At 45.9% G+C, this 1,712-nt stretch overlaps 1 non-coding gene across 1 annotated transcript; it reads left to right on the forward strand.

Moving 5' to 3' along the window:
* The first annotated feature begins 1,378 nt into the window (after positions 1-1,378).
* On the forward strand, positions 1,379-1,451 carry TRA-AGC15-1 (tRNA-Ala (anticodon AGC) 15-1). Its single transcript has one exon. It is a non-coding gene; the product is annotated as a tRNA-Ala (tRNA).
* The last annotated feature ends 261 nt before the right edge of the window (positions 1,452-1,712 follow it).

The raw sequence follows: 1,712 nt of genomic DNA on the forward strand, positions 1-1,712 counted from the left end.
CCACTAGCAAGTAGTGGGGCTGGGATTCAAACCCAGGCTGCCTGAATCCACTCTCCATCGCTCTCCTTCGTAAATTGTGATGTATGAGTCATGGGTTCAATTTGCATTGTGACATTGTTTGTGTAAAGAGCAGTCTTTTCGTCAAGAAAAAAAAATAAAGCAAAGAAAGCCTGTGAGAGGTAAGAGCATTCAACAAGAATTAGTGGGGAGAAGATCCATTGTCCTCACCTGCTGTGATTGTTCAGGACCATGGACAGTAACCACGGAGTTTCTCACACAACCACCTGCCCCCATGGCAATGCAAAATACGTTTCTTACCCCTCAAGCTGCCCTGTATCGCTCTGCAGACTGTGCCTTGTAAAAGAGTATTTGGCTAAGGGGGTGAGGGTAGGCTCTGATGGCCAAGTTGTGCAACCTGGTGTGGGACTATAACTTCCCTGGGGAAGAGGGGCTTTCTATAAGTTTTCTCTTAGCCCAGTGGGCTATAAGTGATCCTGTTACTGTAGGTCATGGTCAAAAAGTTGGAAAACAATTCCAGAGTTCGATAACTGCGAACCAGACATGGCAGAACTAAGATCCACACAGGCCGAGTTTTGGTGAGAAGAGGAGGAAAGGATAATATTTGGGAATTTGGAAACGAAATTTAAGAGAGATCTTTGAGAAGCATGAGGGTGTTACTTACTTGAGGAGAGAGAAGGTTAAAGAAGAACTGAAGTGAAGAGGGTGCTTAGTGGGAGCAAATTTCCCAGACCTGATGATTTTGCCTAAGGCTTGCTCCAACCTTAGCTCTGAGACAGTAAAGACAAGGATTTACGGCCGGGCGCGGTGGCTCACGCCTGTAATCCCAGCACTTTGGGAGGCCGAGGCGGGCGGATCACGAGGTCAGGAGATCGAGACCATCCTGGCTAACACGGTGAAACCCCGTCTCTACTAAAAATACAAAAAATTAGCCGGGCGTGGTAGCGGGCGCCTGTAGTCCCAGCTACTCGGGAGGCTGAGGCAGGAGAATGGCGTGAACCCGGGAGGCGGAGCTTGCAGTGAGCCGAGATCGCGCCACTACACTCCAGCCTGGGCGACAGAGCGAGACTCCGTCCCAAAAAAAAAAAAAAAAAAAAAGACAAGGATTTACAACGTAAGACCTGCATTAAATTCCTGGCTCCACAATTGCTAGTCTTTGAACTTGAAGGCAGAGTTTGCATTTAATTTGTCTTTGTGTCCTTAGCTCTGAACACAAGGTACAAGATTACTGTGTAATGAACATAATTATCTATGGATTCTAAGCAATCTTGTACTAGTCCTTCCAGAAATGTCTGAGACTGTTTTCTCCTCTGCAAAACAGGCTCCTGTTTTCTACATAGGATGACCATCAGGATCACATGGGGAATTAGCTCAAGTGGTAGAGCGCTCGCTTAGCATGCGAGAGGTAGTGGGATCGATGCCCGCATTCTCCATACGTTACCATTTGAATCTTGGGTCTCCAAACAAGATCACAGACGTTGAGCCAGGTTTATTTTGAAGATCAAATGAAATAATCAAGGTGATGAACCTTGTGAAATGCTAAGTGCTGCATAGCAGTTGTTTGTGGTATAGTTGTTACGATGTAAATTAACTGGTCCCTATTTTTATTTATGGAGGGCAGACTATATTGTGGAATCCTAGGAAAGTGTTTTGGGAAATAGGAGTAGATTTAAAGGCTGCCACTACAAGTGCTG

This window comes from Homo sapiens, chromosome 14 (assembly GCF_000001405.40).
Source record: "Homo sapiens chromosome 14, GRCh38.p14 Primary Assembly".
NCBI classification, from domain to species: domain Eukaryota; kingdom Metazoa; phylum Chordata; class Mammalia; order Primates; family Hominidae; genus Homo; species Homo sapiens.